The following is an 18,101-nucleotide window of genomic DNA, read 5'->3' as shown; positions in this document are numbered from 1 at the left end:
AGCGATTCTCCTGTCTCAGCCTCCCAAGTAGTGGGATTACAGGTGCCCGCCACCATGCCCAGCTAATTTTTGTATTTTTAGTAGAGACGGGGGTCTCACCATGTTGGCCAGTCTGGTCTTGAACTCCTGACCTCAGGTGATCCACCTGCCATGGCCTCCCAAAGTGTTGGGATTACAGGCCACCACGCCGGCTAATTTTTGTATTTTTAATAGAGACGGGGTTTCACCATGTTGGCCAGTCTGGTCTTGAACTCCTGACCTCAGGTGATCCACCTGCCTTGGCCTCCCAAAGTGCTGGGATGACAGGCCTGAGCCACCGCGCCTGGCTAACAAACAGTGGGCTCTAAATTAATTATAGACTGGGCAGGGCAAACGTTTGGGGATCTTTACGTTTTTATTATGTCATAGACGGTAAGCGTCATGTTGTCAGAGCAGCTTCTGCGTGGGCAGTTGTAGGAATTTCATCTGTGGCCCAGAACACCATCTGCTTTGGGGAAACCTTTCTGTCTTTCTGTTGAATCACTGCCTGGGTTATCTTCTGTTTAAATCAATTCCTTTAAAGTGAGATTCTGACCTAGGCTGAGGTCTAAGTGTTGCTAAACCTCCTTTAAAATGCAGTGGGCATCGGCGAGCAGGTGATGAAACCACAGGGGCTCACGCCGACTAGAAGCAGCACGGAGGACACCGTGATCCCTGCAGAGCCACAGGCGAGGCCAGTCTGGAGCCTCAGAGTCACTGCCCGGAGGACGCTCCCTGGGAGGAGTCTGCCCTGTTTGACTTGCTCCTCTGTTCTCTTCACCGCAAAGGAAGATGGAAGACGGGAACGAAGACAGGGAGCTGCGCGTTGGAAGTGGAAACTGAGTGTTGCCCTGGCGACATTGTAAGCGATGTTTCAAATGTTTCTTGCAAAGGGGAAGATGGAAGGCTGGGGTGTGCTGCTTGTTGGTCAAGTCAAGTCCCCTCCAACCCTCAAGTGTCAGGTTGGGCAGGTGGTCAGGCGGCAGCCCTGGAAGGCAGCCACCTCTGTGTGGCTCCCACCTGCTGTGTCCTGATGTTTGGGGTGTGGGGTGGGGTGGGGAGGGGGGGCAAGTTGGCCTGGGCCCTGAGACCAGGCTTGGGCCTCTGCCTCTCTGAGCATCTGGGTGAGCCGAGCCCGGGAAGGCCATTCACAGCGGCAGTGGGCTCTGTGTAAGGTTAATACTTGGAGGGCTCATAGCACCAAGTGCGCCTTCCCCGCCGTCGCCCCGCTGATTCTCCTCCTGAGGCCTGTGCTTGCTACTGGCGCCTCTGCTGCAAACCCGAATTCTTACGAAGCCCCTGCTGTGCACCCGGCCCTGTGTGTTGATCCTTCGCCTAGCCTACAGGGAGGAATCCTCATCCTTGGAAAGAGGGCCTGCTGAGGGAGGTGATTTGCCCAGGCCACCCCGCTGGAGGGGCAGAGCAGGGCCTGGAACCCGGGTCTGAGCTGCCTCCCACCCACGGCAGCCGCCGGCACTGTGGAGATGGCTTCTGTGTGTGTTACCAGAATTTAATTTTTAGAGGAGACACCTTGCCCGGGCCCCCCACTGCCGAGAGGCACACACCTCATTGATGAAGTCACCGATGTCGCCTGGGTGCGGCACCATGGGCCTGATCGGGTACTGGGGCTCAGCGCCCACCGGCCGCTCATCCACGCGACGCACGCCAGGGGCTTTGCTTGGCACGTGCCCCATGGCTTCCGGCTGCTGCAGCTGGCTGAGGTCGTAGTCCTGGGGGAGGGAGCCGGGAGGAGTCAGGGGCATCAGAAGAATCCGCCAGCCCCCCTTCCACCCTGCATCCTTTTCTGTCACCTGGGCCACAGATGCACCTGCTGCCCTGTGGCCTGGTCTCCAAGCATCCCACAGAACCATGCTGTCCCCTGCTGTGCCCCTCCACAATGCCCCACCTCCTTGCCCTTTACCCCAATCCCTTGGGCAGGGATAGGGGCTGTTCTTGGCTGTGTTCCATGGCCTGGGGCTCTCCCCGAGTGACCTCACCACCACGCTGCTCACCAACCACGTGCCCCGAGTGCTCAGGGGGCCAGGAGCTGGGCCTCCGCAAGGCACATGCCTCACATTCGTTATGGTCGTGTTGCGGGAGGGGCGGGGAAGGTGGCCAGGAGCTGGGCCTCCGCAAGGCACATGCCTCACGTTCGTTATGGTCGTGTTGTGGGAGGGGCAGGGAGGGGTCTGAGCTTTAGACGGGTTTAAGGACTTGACTTGCCCCGATTCCCTGAAAGGCCAAGGGTAGACTCAGATTCCAACCACCAGCTCTCACAGTCTACCCTCCCGGGCGCCTGGTGCACTGCCCCTGGTCAGTCGACAGCCCTCTGCACACAGCAGCATCCGCGAGTGGGCATCGGTGTGCTTGGCCAACCCGGAGCCCCCTCCCCTCCAGGGCACAGGGCAGCACTGGGCTGGGGCTGGTGATGGGAGGGAAGAAGGCGAGGATGGGAGGGGTCCCAGGATCCCCCGTGGGGGATGCAGGTGCAGTGTACACAGCTCAGCCCAGGCTAGGAAACCGTGCGCCCCTGCCTGGCACCTTCACTGGTGAAAAGGTTGAAATGTCTTACTGTTAAACCCCAGGGCAATCCCTGCTGAGACACTAGTACACGTGAGAGCCGGCCTCGCGTGGGGAGGCGGGGGCGGGCCGCAGTCTCACCTGGTCCTCCTCGCCACCGCCTTCCTCGTCATACTTGAGGATGTTGTCGCGGACGTCGTCCTCGGGGTCAATGAGCAGCTGCTTCGTGTGGCGCTCCTTCTCTCGCCGCTTCATCCACATGACAAACAGCAGGACCATGGCTGTGGGGGAGGGCTGCCCGTGAGCAGGGTGTGCTGCGGGTGTGCGCATGTGTGCCTCTGTGTTTGCCATGTGTCTATGTGGGCATGTACATGCAGGTGGCACACAAGCATGACTGTGCCCATGTGTGCATGCACACCTGTACTGCACACGCGCATGTCTCTGCACATGCAGGCCTGGATGTGCAAGGACACATCTGTGCACATGTGCGGCCCACGTGCGTGTGCATTCGTGGATGTAGGTGCTTCATGCATGTCTGTGTAAGCATGCATACGTGTATCCGCAGGAGTCGTGGATGTAGGTGCTTCATGCGTCTGTGTAAGCATGCATACGTGTATCTGCAGGAGGACGTGTGTATGAAGGCTTGCACATGCGTGTGCCTGGGTGTGAGCGTGTAGATCTGTGTGTGTGCTCGTGTGTTCATGTGTGTAGATGCACACACAAGCCTGCACAGGTCTGTGTGTGCATGTGTCCATGTGTACTTCGTGTGTCTGTGTATGCTCATGGGGCGTGAGTGCATGTGTTCATGTCCATAGTACATGTGTGCCCATGTGTCTGTGCGTGCATGCATGCCTGTGTGCGTGTGCATGAGTTTCCAAGGCACAGCCGCACTGGCTCAGGCCCTCTCCCCAGCTCACTGCCTGGGCACTGGGCTACATTTTGAGTCATTGATTTACAAGCTCGCCCTCCTCTTGCACTCCCCTTTTGAGAAGGCAGCCAGCTCAGGGTGCCTCTCACCGCCTGGGGACGGGAGGACATGGGGGGCTGAGGGGCCCACCCACAAGTCTTTCTGAGTCCCTCTTCTGAGCAGCAGGAGGGAGATGGCTTTGTCAGAGGAGGTGGAAGTGAGGTTTTAGGCACACAGTGTCTTGGTAGGAATCACTGAGAGAGGGAGATGGACTCCCCCATATTGAAAGAGGCTCTGCCCTGGGAGGATAGGGGCCCAGAGAGGGGATCCAGGGATCCTGCTTCCTGAGGGCCCCTGGGGTGGGGTCAGTCCAGGGCGTCGCTGGACAGAAGGGCAGCCCCACCCAGTACCGAGGGGGTCACTCAGAGGGGCTCTTTCCACCACTCAAAGGAATTGGGGTACAGGCTCAGAAGTTCAGGTGCATGTGGAAATTGAAGAGAGGTAAAGTCCCCTTGTGGGGTGGATGGAGGGACCCTCTCCCCCAAGCTGAACTGGATTCTTCCTGCCTTCCGAGGTCCGTGTCCAGCCCTGGCTCCCCTAAACAGCCTTGCTCACTCTGGACCCCTGGCTGCCTCTGCTGCAGGAAAAGCCTGGCGCACCCATCTGCAAAGCTCCAGGAGCAGGTAATGCAGCCCACGCCCCCAGTAAATGCCTGCACAAACCACTCCACTGCATCCTCCTGAAGCCTCCCGTCACCTCCCATGTCACAGATGTAACGACTGAGGCCCAGAATCACAGGTGCACTCTTATGTACCGCAGAGGGTGAGCCCGGAGGCGAGAGGGGCGGCGACCCCCCAGTCAGGAGGGCTGTTTTTTGCCAACCCGATTAATTGGCTGTGGCTGCCTGATGTCGTGAGGAGGATTCCGAAGCGGAGTGGAGGCTTGGGAGGAGCTCTGTGGGTATTGGCGGCATCGCCCTGCCTGCAGAGGGTGAGGTGACAGCCGGGGGACGCTTCCTGACCTGGCCCAGATCGTGGAGAGGGAAGTGCAGGCGGAGGGAGGAGCCACGCACTGCAGGTGCAGCTCCGTGAGAACCTGGAGCCTGGAGCCCGGGCCTAGTCTTGGCTCGACGGAAGCCACAAGGCCAAGAACCTTTGAAGAGGTCAGCTCCACTCTCACAGCTGGCATCCCAGGCTCATCCAGGCAGACAAGATGAGCGAGGGTTGAGAGGAGGAGTGTGGAGGAGGGGAGGCCACTCCGGGTGCCCCCCATGCACCCCACCAGGGCTGAGGTGCCCACGACTGGGCAGAAGCCGGGCAGCAGGCGGATCTGCTGTTGACCGTGGCCCCGGCCCCACTGCGGATGCCCTCCACTGCGGCTGCCCTCGAGAGTGGCCCAGGTCTCCTGCACGGGCCAGGCACTCAGCTGAATTGGGTCTCACAGCCCTGCCCACAGAGGGTGCTCTGGCTGGGGCCTGGCCCCCGGTGTTTCCAGAGCAGGGGACATCGGTGAGAATGCCTCCACCTTTGCTACAGAGACACCTCCCAACCTCTGTGGGGCTCTTTCCACTCCTGATCATACAAAGAAGCCCACGACACTGAACGGCTTTCAAAACAAGCCTCAGAAATGAAAACCGGCTTTTCAAGGGGTGATAGGTCTGGAAATGGGGAAAAAAGCAGAGTCCTCATAACTCAGACATCCTTTGGACAGGGCTCAGGTTGGTCCCTGGGGTCTCAAGTCAGCCGCAGGCCAGGTCTGCAGGAGGGGCCTGCCGCCTGTTCTGGACGTGGTGGGGGACCCTGTGGTTTGGGTGTGAACTGGGGAGGTGGTAGCCCAACCCTTCCCCGCCCTGCCTCCCACTGGGATCCCTGGGGTATCACAGACCACGGTGACTGTCCATGAGGGATGATGGGAAGAGGGACCTCTGGGGTCATTTTCAAGCACCTCCCCTGGCACCGCCCCCCCGCCAGCCCTCAGACCTGTTGGGAACCCACAGTGGTTGTGGGAAACTCAAGAAACTACTAGAGCATGTGATCTGGGCAGAGCCAGTGAGAACACTCCATTGCTTGGCTGGTGATTGGCTCCAAGGTGTGCATGTGACCCAAGCCAGTCCAATCAGAGAGTGTCCTGGGACTTTGGATGGGGACGCTAACAGGCAGGGCTGACCTTCCCTCTGCTAAGTCCACCTGGGAGCTGCCCACAGGCGTCACAGGTCCTGGAGGGCAACAGCTTCAGGACACAGGGGCTCTGGGAGGCAGAGTGGAGCCGTGGAAAGGGGCCAGGCCATGGGAGACACCTGGGCCGGCCTGCACCTCCAGACTTGAGAGTAACGGGAGGCTCCAATTTCCCATTGTCATATGGACCAGTTCAGCTGCATTTCTGAAAGGCTCCTGACAGATGAGGCTGAGAGATGAGGGCTGAGGGGCAAATCCAGGCCCCCCTCTGCCCACCATGCCTGGGACAGGGCACTCATACCCACAATGCCCCTGCCCACCCTGGTGCTCAGCCACACTCACTCAGCAGGATGAGGATGCAGATGAGGATGGCCACGATGGCACCGGTGCCCAGACCAGCCGCTGCCACTGCGCCAATGGTGGTGCAGTCCCCGTTGTCATCACATGGGCACACCTTGACTTTGATGATGGACGTGTTGGACAGGGGAGGGTTTCCAGAGTCTGTGACGATGATGGGGACGTCATACATCCCGGCCTCCAGGTACAGGATGCGCAAGCTGAGTTGGGCATAGTCACCTGGTGCAAAGCAACAGTAAACATTCAACCAGAGCCCGGCCCTCGCTTCCAAGCAAGACGTCCAAAGGAAAAGACTAAAAGTCCGATGGCATGGAAATCTGAAATGGCTGCCTGGTTACCACACATACATACATACACCTGTGCTACATCATTAAGTTAAAAGACATTGGAGGTTGGGTGTGGTGGCTCACGCTTGTAATCCCAGCACTTTGGGAGGCTGAGGTGGGCAGATCACTTGAAGTCAGGAGTTCACGACCAGCCTGGCCAACATGGCAAAACCCTGTCTCTAGTAAAAAATACAAAAATTAGCCGGGCGTGTGGTGCAAGCCTGTGATCTCAGCTACTTGGGAGCCTGAGGTGGGAGAATTGCTTGAACCTGGGAGGTGGAGTTGCAGAGCTGAGATTGTGCCACTGCACTTCTGCCTGGGCAACAGTCTCAAAAAAAAAAAGACATTGGAGACACAACCAAAAAGCAATTGCAACATGTAGGATGAAGAAATAATTTCCTGAATATATAAAGAGTTTTACCAAATCAATAAAAAGAAACTCCCCAAAGAAAACATAGGCAAAGTCATTGAACAGACAATTCACAGAAGAAACAAAAATGGCCAATAAATATATATAAAAAATTTCCACTGGTAATCAGGATATACAAATGGAAATAATGACTTTGGCCTAAAGGTGGCAGAATAAAATATTATTTTAAAACAATAATGTTCAGTGTTGGTGGGGTTTGAGGAAACAAACAGGCACTCTCCCGATGGAAGTAGACATGTTTAGAGCACATTTTCACAGTACTGCCAAAACTTGAGAATTTTGATATCCTTTTATACCACAGATCTGCATCCAGGGAAGTATTCTAAGGAAACATATCAGTCAGGGTCCAGTCAACTGACAACCGGCACAGGAAGTTGTCATGGATGTACATGGGCAGAGCTGCAAGGATGTTCACGGCTGGCCTCATTAAAGCAGCAAGAAATTGGGAATGACTTGGTGGCCTCCTCAAGGCCAGGTGAAGGAGGCTGAGCAGCTGAAGCGTGGCCAGTGTCCCCAGCCTTGGTGGGACAGTCCTGTTGGAGGACTGTCACCCACCTCTGGTGCCCACTCTTCCAAGGCCAGCTGGGTCTCCCAGGGGCCTGCACCCCAGGCTAGTCTGACCCTCCCCGTGGCCTAAGGCGGGCTCACCGTTCAGGCGGGTGATGGTCCAGTTCTTCCGCACGGCCGCCGGGACAAAGGGCAGCTCGAAGACGTAGGGGCCGATGTTGGGGTCGACGTCAGCGTCGGCCGCCGTGATGTTGATGGCGTTCAGGTTGGGCTTCTCGCAGATCTGCGCCTCCTTGGGCAGCAGCTCAGGGGCGTTGTCGTTGATGTCAATGAGATAGATCTGGAGGGTCCCGGTGCCGCTGGCCGGGGGTATCCCTGTGGAACAGACACAGGTCACCACACGGGCCACTCCTGGTACTCCATGACCAACCCACAGCTCCACACAGGACACGCACACAAACAACCACGTGCAACATACACAGGGACACATGTGCAGACCCCCAGCCGGACACGGCCGGCCATCTCCCAACACAGCTGCACAGGGACTGACCCACAGTCCAGCCATGGCTCCTGACCGACACCCTGCCACACGCCATGGGCAGCCACACCACTGCGTACGGCACCTCAACAGACACGGCAAAGCACACGGCCACACCCACACCCGCAGCTGCACACACGCACACAGCCACTGCGCACGGCACCTCAACAGACACGGCAGAGCACACGGCCACACCCACACCTGCACACACGCACACAGCGGGGTGTGGCATTCACGTGGAAACTCACAGCCACGGAGGTCACAGCCACGCACCGGGGACTCACTCCCACTGGGGAGCCAGGGAGGGGTTCTGCGGGTGCTGGGCTCTGCACTGGCCCCTGAGGGCTGGGATCCGCCCACCACATCTTGCCCCCATCTGGGACTTCTTAGGGCAAAACCTTTCCTTGCCTCCCTGAGTTTTGCTGGCCCTGCCCAGCAGAGCCCCAGGGTGCTGGAAGCCCTGAGCCCAGACGCATGATCGCGTGGAAGAACTGCTGCTTTTGGAAGTGTCTGTGAGAAAAGCAGGCGCGGCCGCTCCAGATGAGCTTTGATGGAAGCTCCCTCCTGGCCCGGCAGGAGGTCTCCTTGGAGGACCCGATGACCTCTGGCTTCAGCATGAACGGAGGTGCTCTGCCGAGCCCCCAGAGCTCCTCAGGGGCCATCCCTGTCCCTGGGGTCTTCACATGCTCAGTCCTTGCCTCAGCCCAGGATGCAGGCCAGGTGGCTGGAATCTGGGGACAGAGAGATGCCCTGTCTGCTCTCCAGGCTTGGAGGCGGCGGTGGTGGCGGCATGTTCTGACTGTAGCTTTGCTCCTGATGGCAGCTCCTGACCTGACGTTAACAACCACGTGTTTTGACTGAGGCAGGCGAACCATGTAAAAATGTATCCCACGGATGTCTCTTTAATCTTCCGGAAGCTGCGTCAAAACACATTTAAGGTGACGCAGCGCGGCGCTACCTTTGAAAACTGCTTTGAGATGTAGCTGATGGCACGGCACGTGATCGGAGAAGCACAGACAGGTTCTGTTAACCGGGGGGCTCCTGCTCCAGCCTGTGCACCCCGGCTCCCTCACACGGCGTCTGCCACGTGCGATGGACGCTCCGATGTTCCAGCTGCGGCCTCACAATCACTTTCTTTCTTTTTTTTCTTTTTTGAGATGGAGTCTCACTCTATTGCCCAGGCTTGAGTTCAATGGGGCGATCTTGGCTCACTGCAACCTCTGCCTCCCAGGTTCAAGTGATTCTCCTGCCTCAGCCTCCCGAATAGCTGGGATTACAGGCGTGCACCACCATGCCTAGCTAATTTTTGTATTTTTTTAGTAAAGACGGGGTTTCACCATGTTGGCCAGGCTGGTCTTGAACTCCTGACCTCATGATCCACCTGCCTCGGCCTCCCAAAGTGTTGGGATTACAGGTGTGAGCCACGGGGCCTGGCCCGGGCTCACAATCACTTTCTAATTTAACCTCAGGGCTTGAGCTGCGGCAGGGGACCCTCAAGGGGAGACGCTTCCCCTGACCAGAGCCCTGGGCTCACAGGCAGCTGCACAGCTGCACAGCTACACAGCCCGGGCTCTGTGGACCCTGGCAGGGGAGGCAGCGCTGGCTGGGGGAGGCTGGCAGGGGGGTGTCCACGTCCTGTCTTCACCTGCTATGGGACGAGCGTTTGCACAATGGCTACCCTTGTTCATGAGGCTTCACGCACAGCCGTTCCAAGAGCGGACCAGACACAGCCCCGCCTCAGGGCCTTTGCACACACCGTTTCCTAACTCTGTGACCCTCCTTCCCGTGCTTGCTCCTCTGGTTCCACAGCTCTTGGTCCCAAGGGCAGCTCCTCAGAGCGGAGCCCCTGGTCACTGCCTCCCAGCCGCCTGTTTTGTTTTCTCCCAGCTCTTCTTGCTGCCTGAATCATCTGCGTGGCTGGTTTCTCTCCGGTCTCCTTGGGGCAGACGCTGCTGAGTCATCCCCAATATCCATTTTCTGTTTCCTTTTAATAAAATAATCGGAGTCCTACATTTTGTCTGGGATCATCACTGTCCATCTAGAAGACCCCATTTCCCAGCGCCCCTTGCAGCTGGGGGTGGCTGCATCAGTAAGTTCTGGGCTTTGTGAGCTGTGGGTGGAGGACTTGCGTGGGGCTTTCTGAAAGTCCTTAGTAGCAGACGTGTGCCCGTGCCCTCCCTGCAAGGCCTTCTGTTTGCCAGAACATGGCTGTGACGGCTGGAGCTCCAGCAGCCATTCTGGGCCATGCCGTGGCACAGTCAGGATGCCCCAGGTCTCGGATCTCCCCCTGGGCTGCCTGCCTCCAGCCTTCTTTGACGTGAGAGAAAAAAAGCCTCAATTGTGCTGCAGTTTCCTCCATCAGTATTCACTGACCCAGGTTCCAGCCGACACACTCGGGCTGTCAGCCAAGCCACAGCAGGGCGTCACTGTGTTCCACCCACTGATGAGCAGCGGCAGGCACTCGGCCGGTACTCGGCAAACAGCAGCCCGGGCAGTCATCACGGCCGCAGCAAACAGGAGCCCATGCTGCTCTGAGCCAGGCCCTTCCTCAGTGTTCCGGTGACTCCGACTCGTTTGATTCTCAGGGGTACTAAGACTCCCCCGACTTGGCAGAGGAGGAAACTGAGGCACAGAGCGGTCACGTCTTTTCCCACTGGTAAGCGGTGGTACTGGACTGATCTTCGGTTCCAGAATCCCTGCTCCCACCCGCCCTGCCTCCATGCCTCTGAGAGCGTGCGACCCGTGGGGGGCTCGGCCAGTTCGCAGGGTTACTGCAGGTCCAGGAAGGGGTGGCTGCTTCTTGAGATGCTGGCCCATGTCCCTCAGAAAGCCCCACGTGCTCTCAAACCTTCTTCCTGCCGTCTCTGCCCAGCCCATCCTCGCCCTCCCGTCCAGGCTCCTGAGGTCGTCTGCTGTGCCGCCTGCCCCGGGACCTTGCCACCGCCCTCTGCACTCCCAGGGCCCTGGAGGGTCTCATGCCTCCTGCTGTGACTAAGGGCCACAGGGGTCTGTGCCGTGGGTGGTCAGAGACACGAGGGCGGCACCCCCGGGGCTGCTGACCAGTGGGGCTGGGCCTTCCCCGCAGGATGGGGTCTGTGGCAAGGGCTGCCGGCTGAAAGCATTTGAAAACTGTGGACCTGATTCCAGTGCCTCAGTTTACAGGCAGCAAAACTGAGATGCATTTCAGGTTGCAGAGGGCAGCAAAGCCAAGCCTGGGATGACCAGTGCCCTGATGCCCCTGGAGGCTGTGGGTGAGTGACGTTGGGGGGAAAGACCAGGCACACCTTCGAACAAGCAAGTGAATGCTGGGGAGGGGGCAGAATGAATGACTGACATGGGAGTGGGTGGAGGGGGAGCATGGCCTGGGGGCCCTGAGATGACGCAGCCCTGATCACCGGTGTCTGCACAGATGCCCCCTCAGCCCCTCTGGGTGACCCTCTGGATGCCTGCTGGCCTCTCGGGGTCTCCCTGGCCAGCACCCTCCCTCGCCCACAGAACCCAGGACACGGGAAGGCCACCGAGACGGCTGCCTCCCTGGGGTGGGCCGCACCATTGTCAGCTGCCAGGAAGGTGGCCTCGTAGACGTTGTTTTTGGTGTAGAGGGACTCACGGTCCAGCACTGCCGCCGTGGTGATCTGGCCGTTGGTGGCATTGATGTGCAGCCAGCTCGCTGGGTCTGACAGCTTTGAGTATCTGCGGAGACCACAAGTGCAGGGGGAGGTAAGGCTGGGGGTGGGCGGGGCTGCCCTGGATCCCAGGCCTCCTTGGCCACACCTCCAGGGCCTGGGCCTGGGCCAGTGTCTCTGTCTCCTTGGAGCCCCCCAGGCCTTGTCCTCCTCTAGGGCTTCCCCTCCACGTTGGACTGGCACCCTCCCCCCCGGCCCCACAACAGGACAGGCCACGCAGTGGCTACGGGCACCAAGCTCATCCAGTAGTGGGTGGTCTCAACTCACAAGGACCCTGTGGGCAGACGCCCTCATTGTCCCCATCGAACGGACAAGGACGCTGAGGAGCAGAGAGGGCAGGAGGTTGCTGAGTCTTATAGCTATGAGAGTGTGGCCAGGATCGGGCCGGCCTGTGTCTAGACAGTGCTGAATGAGTAAGCACCGGTCACAACACTCACGATTGATCAGGGGCTGCATCTGGCTATCTGGGACTAAGGGGCTGCGGCTCCCTCCTGGAAGGACGCCTTAGGTTGGAGATGCCCCCGACCACCCATCTGGGGGAATTCTGGGCTGTGGGTTTCATGGGGTATTTCTGGACCCTTCTGTATGGAACCTGGGAAGCTGCAGGCAGGGACGAGGCATGTCCTGTGCACCCACCTCACAGCCTGCTGCATGAACCGGTCAGGGTCCACAGCTGAAAACGTGGTCAGCACGGTGCCGGGGGGCACGCCCTCCTCCAGGCGGATCAGCTTGTGGTTTGAGGGGAAGTAGGGAGCCTCGTTGATGTCCATGATGGAGATGGTCACCCCTGCCGTGGACTGGAAGGACATCTGGATTCCGCTGGCCAGGGGCGCCTGGTTGGACACCATCACTGTCAGCATGAAAGCTCTGTTGAGCTCGTAGTCGACTGCCTGGAACAACAGATCAGGGCTGGGAGTGACCTGGCACAGCTCCCGTGGGAGTGGGCATGGGGGGACACATGGGAAGGTTGGTCTCCACCCCTCCCTGAGCCATGTCCAGCTCTTCTCTGCTCTGCTCTTTAGCCAGGAGGCCCCAAAGGGTCCCATCTCCCAGGCACCCTTATCTTCTGGCTTCCTGCTGGGTTTGGCCGATGGGAGGAGAGAGGGAGGAGGTCTAGGCCTCCCAGCCCCTGTCCCATGCTGGGCTGAGGCAGAAGCTGGGCTCCTCCTGGGGGGGCTGCAGCCCCCGCTGGGCGGCCCCTCTTCCTGGCCTGGTAACCCCGTCCCTACCTTCCTCCTTTGAGCCTAGTGTGGGGAAGGCTCCTGACGTTGTTGGCCAGCGGGGCCTCACCAGTTGCGGAGGGTCAGATGGTGGCCCCCAAAAGACATGTCCACCTGGGACCTGTGAATGAGCCCTTATTTGGAAATAGCGTCTTTGTACATGTAAGTTAAAGACAGAGGCCCTCATAACAGACAGGCAGGGCTGGGTGCGGTCATGCACGCCTGTAATCCCAGGGCTTCAGGACGCTAAGGTGGGAGGATCGCTTGAGCCCAGGAGTTTGAGGCTGTGGTGCACTGTGATCACACCATTGCACTCTAGCCTGGGTGACAGAGCAAGGCTCTCCAAAATTTCAAAACAGAGAGAAAGGGAGAGGGATATTTGAGACACACAGGTGCAGGGAGGAGCCATGTGGCGACAGAGGTGCAGTCTGGAGTGAGGCAGCTACAGGCCAAGAAACGGGAGAGAGGCAGGCAGTGGGTTCTCCTCTACAACCTCCTAAGCGAGACCGTTCCTGCCGGCACCTTGATTTTATGTCTCTGACTCGCAGAGCTGGAACAGAAGACAGTTCTATTGTTGTAACCCACCTGGTTTGTGGTGACTTGTAACCGCAGCCCCGGACAGAACCATGCCAGGTCTGCAGTTCCCATCACTGCTGCACTTGGCCCCTGCATTCACACAATTCTTTGGTGCCCTTCTGGTGCACCAGGACCCTGGCTGATAAACGCTAGAGCTACGGTTCTGCAGTGATGCTGTATTATCAGAAAAGCTTCGCTCAAGCCTTTCCTACACATTTTGGGGAGGGAGGGAAGTTACATGGAAAAAGCTTGGGGCCCTGAGACGTTCAATGGCAAAGCTTGCAACAGTTTCACTGGAAAAAAACACAACACATTGTGTCTCAATTGCATTAAAATATTCTGCTTAGATACGTGCAAAGTAACATATGCATAAGAGTATTCATTGCGTAGTATCTGTCGAGACAATATGCTGGAAATGACCCAAACATCCATCAGCAATGGTGGGCTGCACAGCCTGCAGTACATCTGCATGGGGAGACACTTGCAGCCGTAAAGAGGAAAGAGAACACCCTCTGTGTACTGAAGAGGAGAGCTTTCCAGGATCTACTGGTGGGCAAAAAAGCAACCCACATAGTGTGCACCTTTTGTGCAAAAGAGAGAGAAAAATATGATTTGTATATGTATTTGCTCATATTTGCAGAAAGAAACATCGTGAGGATAAACCAAAAACTAATAAAAATGATCATCGTTATCAGAGGGAAGGAATGGGGTCAGGGTCACAGCTGGGAGTGTGAGTTTGTGAGTTTGCTCTCTATTTCTTATCATAGAGCTTTGATTTTTTTTTTTTTTTTTTTTTGACAGAGTCTTCCTCCATTGCCAGGCTGGAGTGCAGTGGCATGATCTCGGCTCACTGCAACCTCTGCCTCCTGGCTTCAAGTGATTCTCCTGCCTCAGCCTCCCCAGTAGCTGGGATTACAGGTGCCCGCCACCATGCCTGGCTAATTTTTATATTTTTAGTAGAGACGAGGTTTCACTATGTTGACCAGGCTGGTCTTGAACTTCTGACCTCAGGTGATCCGCCTGCCTCGGCCTCCCAAAGTGCTGGGATGACAGGCGTGGGCCACTGCACCCTGCCCAAAATGTGCTTTTGAGGGTGATGCATTCTGACAGATTTAGGTGCGGAGGATCATGAGGTCTGGTAATTAAAAAAACGTACTCCTGCAAAAAGTGCAGATTGCCACGCAGCAGCGTGCCTATCACTGTGAGATTTACACAACACCATGCTTCCATGCAATCACCATGACACCACGCTTCCATGCAATCACTGTGACACCACGCTTCCACGCAATCACCGTGACACCATGCTTCCATGCAATTACTGTGACACAGTGCTTCCATGCAATCACGACACCACGCTTCCATGCAATCACTGTGACACCACGCTTCCATGCAATCATGACACCACGCTTCCACACAATCACCGTGACACCACGCTTCCATGCAATTACTGTGACACAATGCTTCCATGCAATCACGACACCACGCTTCCACGCAATCACCATGACACGCTTCCATGCAATTACTGTGACACAACGCTTCCATGCAATCACGACACCACACTTCCACGCAATCACCATGACATGCTTCCATGCAATTACTGTGACACCATGCTTCCATGCAATCACCACGACACCACGCTTCCATGCAATCACCATGACACCACACTTCCATGCAATTACTGTGACACCATGCTTCCATGCAATCACACCACGTTTCCATGCAATCACGACACCACGCTTCCACGCAATCACCATGATACCACGCTTCCATGCAATTACTGTGACACCATGCTTCCATGCAATCACCACACCACGCTTCCATGCAATCACCGTGACACCACGCTTCCATGCAATCATCACGACACCACGCTTCCATGCAGTCACTGTGACACCACGCTTCCATGCAATCACTGTGACACCACACTTCCATGCAATCACTGTGACACCACGCTTCCACGCAATCACACCACATTTCCACACAATCACCATGACACGGTGCTTCCATGCAATCATCACGACACCACACTTCCACATAATCACCATGACACGCTTCCACACAATCACCGTGACACTGCGCTTCCATGCAATCACACATTTCCATGCAATCACCAAGACACGCTTCCACGCAATCACACCACACTTCCACACAATCACCGCGACACCACGCTTCCAATCACGACACGCTTCCATGCAATCACTATGACACCACGCTTCCACACAATCACACCACGCTTCCACACAATCACGATACCATGCTTCCACACAATCATGACACGCTTCCATGCAATCACTGTGACACCACGCTTCCATGCAATCACCGTGACACCATGCTTCCACGCAGTCACCATGACACCACGCTTCCACGCAGTCACTGTGACGCCATGCTTCCATGCAATCACAAAACCACGCTTCCACGCAATCACCGTGACACGCTTCCAATCACAACATGCTTCCACGCAATCACCGTGACACCACGCTTCCACACAATCACGATACCATGCTTCCACACAATCACGACACGCTTCCACGCAATCACTGTGACACCACACTTCCATGCAATCACCGCGATACCACGCTTCCACACAATCACAACACGCTTCCACGCAATCACCGTGACACCACGCTTCCACATAATCACGATACCATGCTTCCACACAATCACAAGCTTCCATGCAATCACCGCGACACCATGCTTCCACACAATCACACGCTTCCATGCAATCACGACACACTTCCACACAATCACAACACGCTTCCATGCAATCACCGCGACACCACGCTTCCACGCAACCATGACATGCTTCCACGCAATCATCATGACACAGCGCTTCCACGCAATTATGCAGGTTCCTCCTACTTCTAGGAATGCCTGGAAACTTTCATGATAAACAGTGTAAGACATTTCCACTTAGAGAGGAACTTATCTGCTGGAGGAATCAATCAGCTTTCCCCAAGAAGCATGAGGGCACCATGTCCCGCCACTGATGTGATGTCCCCACGTTCCCACCCCTCGTGAACCACCTGCAGGCAGGCAGGCCAGGCACTGTCTACAGTGGAGCGGAAAAGGCCAGTTTGTGGCTTTGGAGCTTCATAAGCTGAGGGCCTCAGGTGAGACAGGAAGGAACCTGGGGTGTTCCACCCACAAGGTGCTGTTTTGAACCCCACTCCCCATGCTTGGGGCCGGCAGTGAAGCACCTGAGTCTGAACAGATCCAACTCCACCCCATCTCCGGGGCCACCACAGCCTCTCAGGGCCTGATCTTTCCAAGCAGGAACAACCACATAATCTGGTATGTCACACTCAGGACTTCTCGGCACTGCTACTGAATAAGATATTTCAGTACAAAAAGAAGAAATTTAAAAATCACATCAATAAGGCCAGGTGCGGTGGCTCATGCCTGTAATCCCAACACTTTGAAAAGCTGAGGCAGGAGGATCACTTGAGCCTAGGAGTTCGAGAGCAGCCTGGTCAACATAGTGAGATGCTGTCTCTACAAAACAAAAAGAAATTAGTTGAGCGTGGTAGCACACACCTGTAGTCCCAGCTACCCAGGAGGCTGAAGTGGGAAGACTGCTTGAGCCTGGGAGGTCAAGGCTGCAGTGAGCAGTGATCGTACCACTGCACTTCAGCCTGGGCAACAGAGTAAGACCTCGTCTCAAAAAATAAAATTGCCTAAATAATAGTATTGGATGGGCATGGAAGGAAAACTGAGACGGTGGCTCCTGGAAGCCCATGACTGCCTCCAGGAGGGTCTGCAGGGAGTGGCAGAGATCACAGTTCTGGTCCTGGGTCCCCACGGTCCCTGCACTGCCCCTGGGGGTGACACGCAGTCACTGCAATACCACGCTTCCACGCAATCACCGCGACACCACGCTTAGGTGAGCCCTCATCCTCCCCAGGGGTGGTCTCCTTGTCCCTCTGAAGGAAGGGGTGGTCCCTGCTAGCCTCCCTGAGTCCTGAGTGAGATGCCTCGTGGCTCCCTGATGCACGCTGTCACCTCTCACTGCGTTGGTTCATGACCCCCACCCTGACTCTGCCACCCCTGGGGCAGGGGCTGTGCCCTGTACCTCCGCCTCCCCAGCGTCCAGCACAGCGCCAGTGTGGTTCATCTGTGCCCCATAGGTGCCTGGGGGATATAGGGAGTGGGCACCCCCTTGTTCACCACCACTGCCCAGGCCCATCTTGGGGTTGTGTGTGCCACACAGGGGCCTCACACCTGCAGCTGTCACCCTGCAGAACCTTCCACAGCCCAAGCTGACTGCAAGCCTGAAGGGACGCCTGATCCAGAATAACCCAGCACACTCCTCTGAAAGGTTCTACCAGGGGTCTCAGGTACCCCCAAGTCTGGCCTTGGTCCCTCTGTCTCTGGACTCCAGATGCCTCCAAGCTCCCAGCACCTGCCTGCACCCACATCGTGTTGGGGTCCCCCCCAGAGCTGTCCATGCCAACGCCTGCAGCTGCCCCCCCAGGCCCTCCAGCAGCTGGCTGGGACGGGGCCACTCATGTGGCTAGACTGTTTCATCACGTCGTGGTAGCGCTATGAACAAGCCCCTGAGGGAAGTGGTCTTTCTCCCATATTTATTGGCTCATGTTCCCGGGGACATGGAATAATGCTGCATGTCATGCGTTAAAAAATCGTGTCACCAGCCTGAGCAAGGAGGCCTTCCAGAAAGATGATTATGGCCAATAAAAGCCCACAGGAAGATAAAATAAAACACATTTGTAATGGAGAAATCAATAGGTAATTTGCTCCAGCAGTTTCGATTAGGGTGGCTGGATATACTCGCTGAGGCTCAGCATGGCTGCCGCCCACACGTGGCCATGACCCTTCACTCAGAGGTGA

The 18,101-nt window shown here is 56.9% G+C and overlaps 1 protein-coding gene across 5 annotated transcripts in view, besides 6 other annotated features; it reads right to left on the bottom strand.

Annotated features, from left to right (window-relative positions):
- The window catches only part of CDH4 (cadherin 4), a 688,357-nt gene that overhangs the window by 4,814 nt on the left and 665,442 nt on the right, over positions 1-18,101 (bottom strand). For all 5 annotated transcript variants that reach the window (NM_001794.5, XM_047439812.1, XM_047439813.1 and 2 more), the window contains 6 exons: positions 12,100-12,353; positions 11,328-11,470; positions 7,381-7,614; positions 5,962-6,195; positions 2,680-2,819; positions 1,584-1,748 (listed from right to left, as the gene is read on the bottom strand). In NM_001794.5, coding sequence (NP_001785.2) covers positions 1,584-1,748; positions 2,680-2,819; positions 5,962-6,195; positions 7,381-7,614; positions 11,328-11,470; positions 12,100-12,353 — 1,170 coding nt within the window. The remainder of the gene's footprint in view (positions 1-1,583; positions 1,749-2,679; positions 2,820-5,961; positions 6,196-7,380; positions 7,615-11,327; positions 11,471-12,099; positions 12,354-18,101) is intronic.
- Positions 974-1,704: an enhancer, noted in NCBI's record as "H3K27ac-H3K4me1 hESC enhancer chr20:60509158-60509888 (GRCh37/hg19 assembly coordinates)". NCBI's record gives its function as "activates a minimal SCP1, AML or CMV promoter by ChIP-STARR-seq in naive H9 embryonic stem cells {active_cell/tissue: H9 hESC(naive)}" and the evidence as "EXISTENCE:reporter gene assay evidence [ECO:0000049][PMID:30033119]".
- Positions 2,436-3,167: an enhancer, noted in NCBI's record as "H3K27ac-H3K4me1 hESC enhancer chr20:60507695-60508426 (GRCh37/hg19 assembly coordinates)". NCBI's record gives its function as "activates a minimal SCP1, AML or CMV promoter by ChIP-STARR-seq in naive H9 embryonic stem cells {active_cell/tissue: H9 hESC(naive)}" and the evidence as "EXISTENCE:reporter gene assay evidence [ECO:0000049][PMID:30033119]".
- Positions 7,948-8,455: an enhancer, noted in NCBI's record as "H3K27ac-H3K4me1 hESC enhancer chr20:60502407-60502914 (GRCh37/hg19 assembly coordinates)". NCBI's record gives its function as "activates a minimal SCP1, AML or CMV promoter by ChIP-STARR-seq in primed H9 embryonic stem cells {active_cell/tissue: H9 hESC(primed)}" and the evidence as "EXISTENCE:reporter gene assay evidence [ECO:0000049][PMID:30033119]".
- Positions 7,948-9,505: a biological region, named in NCBI's record as "P300/CBP strongly-dependent group 1 enhancer GRCh37_chr20:60501357-60502556".
- Positions 8,306-9,505: an enhancer, noted in NCBI's record as "P300/CBP strongly-dependent group 1 enhancer chr20:60501357-60502556 (GRCh37/hg19 assembly coordinates)". NCBI's record gives its function as "activates an origin of replication core promoter dependent on BRD2, BRD4, P300/CBP, MED14 and CDK7 cofactors, with strong dependence on P300/CBP, by STARR-seq in HCT116 cells {active_cell/tissue: HCT116}" and the evidence as "EXISTENCE:reporter gene assay evidence [ECO:0000049][PMID:35650434]".
- Positions 16,917-17,211: an enhancer, noted in NCBI's record as "tiled region #9437; K562 Activating non-DNase unmatched - State 20:ReprD". NCBI's record gives its function as "activates a minimal TATA promoter and a strong SV40 promoter by Sharpr-MPRA in K562 cells {active_cell/tissue: K562}" and the evidence as "EXISTENCE:reporter gene assay evidence [ECO:0000049][PMID:27701403]".

Source organism: Homo sapiens, chromosome 20 (assembly GCF_000001405.40).
Source record: "Homo sapiens chromosome 20, GRCh38.p14 Primary Assembly".
NCBI lineage: Eukaryota > Metazoa > Chordata > Mammalia > Primates > Hominidae > Homo > Homo sapiens.
Note: the sequence above shows the minus strand (reverse complement) of the source record. Positions and strands in the feature narration are given on the sequence as shown.